General features: G+C 35.4%; 1 long non-coding RNA gene across 1 annotated transcript; it reads left to right on the top strand.

Annotated features, from left to right (window-relative positions):
* The first annotated feature begins 762 nt into the window (after nucleotides 1–762).
* On the top strand, nucleotides 763–1,471 carry LOC124909496 (uncharacterized). Its single transcript, XR_007096280.1, has 2 exons — nucleotides 763–884; nucleotides 1,327–1,471. It is a non-coding gene; the product is annotated as an uncharacterized LOC124909496 (long non-coding RNA).
* The last annotated feature ends 272 nt before the right edge of the window (nucleotides 1,472–1,743 follow it).

Below are 1,743 nucleotides of genomic sequence, written 5' to 3' on the forward strand. Positions count from 1 at the left end.
AAAGCAAACACAAGCAGAGACTAAAGGATACATCTAAATGTTCAAGCCAGTAGAATGAACACAACTCTGCTTTTAATTTTGACAGCAAAAAAGATATCTGAATCAAGAAAGGGCATTCACAATGTTAGAAAGCAATGATTTTTAAAATTCTCAAATTTAAACAGAATGCTTTGTTTAAGCATGATGTATGTGTTTGTGTTTTCAAATGCAAAAATGTTGGAAGTTTTTGCATGAAGAAATCATTTGATTTCATGATAAATTTACCCATCTGGGTGCTAGAAATGAAAACCTTGATTGTTTACTCAACTACCCAATCAGAGAAAGAAAATTTTCAAATTACAGTTATATCAACAGATACAGAAGAGATCTTAGCTAGTAAAAACATCCTTAAGCATTATTTTGCTGACGACAACAAAAATATTTCCAGCCACATATCAAACCACCTACAAATTCTTTGGGGATCAATTTCTTCATTTCTATAGCAAAGTAACATGTGCATGTCTACTACAAATCTTAAGGCAAATAGTCCTGTTCCTATTCACTTGTCATTGCAATGAAGCATCTGCCGCTCACTGTTTTTTTGTTATTTTTTTTCCTGATTACTCCAATTCAAAAACATCATCCTACCAGCTCTTTTAGTTGTTAAATATCCCTGTGCTTGTGGCTACATTTCTTTGCACTGGAGAAATGATCTCATTAACAAACTAGTTCTGTGCGTCCTTAACACTGAGGCCCCTCGCCTGCAGCTGGAGGCAGCTCTCTGTTCAGCCCCAGTGCAGAGTGACACAGACAGGCGACAGCGTCGCTGAGCACCAACTTCTATTCCACGGAGGCAGACAGCGAAAACCATTTCATAACCATGGCAAGGCATGAGAGAAGCACAGGTAATCCTGTTTCTGTATTCAGTTTGTGCAAGAATCAAATATATTCATCTGGAAGAGACAACTGGGCAAAAAAAGGAGTTGGGGTGGGGGAGGTTCTGTGTTAGAACTGCTGAGCCAGGAAATAAAGTCACAAATTAGGAAATAGAGTATAAACACAAAAAGAAAAAAGCCTCTGAGATATATATATATATATATATATATATATAGATATATAGATATATATATGCACATACATATATTTGCGCATACATACATTTATAAGATATATATAAAAAAAGGGGATGTGTTGGTGAAGGTTTTGTTACATGGGAAGTAAGCTGTAGGCTAATACGTAGAAGTAAAAGGAGTAGTTTTTGTCCTGAAATCTCCAAGTTGGAAAGGACTTTAGAAAAAATCTAGTGTGTCATGAATGACCACATCTAATACTTTTCTTTTTTTAAAGGGTAGCTGCAAAGTTTTGGAAAAGACCTCTGCAACAACTGGAAGCACAGTGTACCCAAGTGGTGGGTCTCGTCTGTGGCAATATAATTTTCTATCTGTCCAATTGAATATGGCTGTAAAGGGAATAAAACCCCATGTAATCTCCAGCAGTGACAATTTAATCAGTTGTATAAGGGGGAAAAAAGCAGAGTCCCCTCATTTTCATATTTGCATATTTGATTTTTGCATTGGGGAATAGAGGTTTTGTTTTTCTATTACTTTGCATTCAATTTTAATATTTAATCTTTTTATGAGCAAATTTTTATAGTGGTATGTAATACTGAGTCAGACAGGTCTAAAATAGAAAGGAAAGATTCCATTTCTGAAATCAAGCCCCTGATCCAATATGCTTTGTGTAACATTTTTCCTTGTACAGAAT

The sequence above is a fragment of the Homo sapiens genome, chromosome 3 (genome assembly GCF_000001405.40).
Source record: "Homo sapiens chromosome 3, GRCh38.p14 Primary Assembly".
Lineage (NCBI taxonomy): Eukaryota > Metazoa > Chordata > Mammalia > Primates > Hominidae > Homo > Homo sapiens.